The 1,050-nt window shown below is 60.1% G+C and overlaps 1 annotated feature.

Annotated features, from left to right (window-relative positions):
• Nucleotides 221–721: an enhancer, noted in NCBI's record as "H3K27ac-H3K4me1 hESC enhancer chr13:63022143-63022643 (GRCh37/hg19 assembly coordinates)". NCBI's record gives its function as "activates a minimal SCP1, AML or CMV promoter by ChIP-STARR-seq in naive H9 embryonic stem cells {active_cell/tissue: H9 hESC(naive)}" and the evidence as "EXISTENCE:reporter gene assay evidence [ECO:0000049][PMID:30033119]".

Raw genomic sequence — 1,050 nt, 5'->3', positions numbered from 1 at the left:
TTAACCTGTTTAAAAATAATTTTGCCAATCCCAAAACTATGAAATGTTTTGCTAAGTGTATTAGTCCAGTCTCACGCTACTATAAAGGTGCTACCCGAGACTGGGTAATTTATAAAGAAAATAAGTTTAGTTGACTCACCTTTCTGCATGGCTGGGGAGGACTCAGGAACTTAAAATTGTGGCAGAAGGGGAACGGGAAGCAAGCACCTTCTTCACAAGGCGACAGGAGAGAGACAGAGCTGGACTGACGAAGTGACACTTTAAAACCGAGAGGTGACAGCATGCTGGCAGTCCTCACAGCCCTCGTTCGCTCTCAAGGCCTCCTCTGCCTGGGCTCCCACTTTGGCGGCACTTGAGGAGTCCTTCAGCCCACCACTGCACTGGGGGAGCCCCTTTCTGGGCTGGCCAAGGCAGGAGCCAGCTCCCTCAGCTTGCAGGGAGGTGTGGAGCGAGAGGCGCCAGCGGGAACCACGGGTGCGCGCGGCGCTTGCGGGCCAGCTGGAGTTCCGGGTGGGCGTCGGCTTGGCGGGCCCCGCACTGCGAGTAGCCGGCGGCCCTGCCGGCCCCAGGCAATGAGGGGCTTAGCACCCGGGCCAGCAGCTGCGGAGGGTGTACTGGGTCCCCCAGCAGTGCCAGCCCACCCGCGCTGCACTCAATTTCTAGCCGGGCCTTAGCTGCCTTCCCGCGGGGCAGGGCTCGGGACCTGCAGCCCGCCACTCCTGAGCCTCCCAGCCCCTCCGTGGGCTCCTGTGCGGCCCGAGCCTCTCCGATGAGCACCGCCCCCTGCTCCAGGGCGCCCAGTCCCATGGACCACCCAAGGGCTGAGGAGTGCGGGCGCACAGCGCGGGACTGGCAGGCAGCTCCACCCCATCCCTGCTTCGGGATCCACAGGGTGAAGCCAGCTGGCCTCCTGCGTCTGGTGGGGATGTGGAGAATCTTTATGTCTAGCTCAGGGATTGTAAATACACCAATCGGCACTCTGTATCTAGCTCAAGATTTGTAAACACACCAATCAGCACCCTGTGTCTAGCTCAGGGTTTGTGAATGCAC

This window comes from Homo sapiens, chromosome 13 (genome assembly GCF_000001405.40).
Source record: "Homo sapiens chromosome 13, GRCh38.p14 Primary Assembly".
In the NCBI taxonomy this organism is placed as follows: domain Eukaryota; kingdom Metazoa; phylum Chordata; class Mammalia; order Primates; family Hominidae; genus Homo; species Homo sapiens.
Note: the sequence above shows the minus strand (reverse complement) of the source record. Positions and strands in the feature narration are given on the sequence as shown.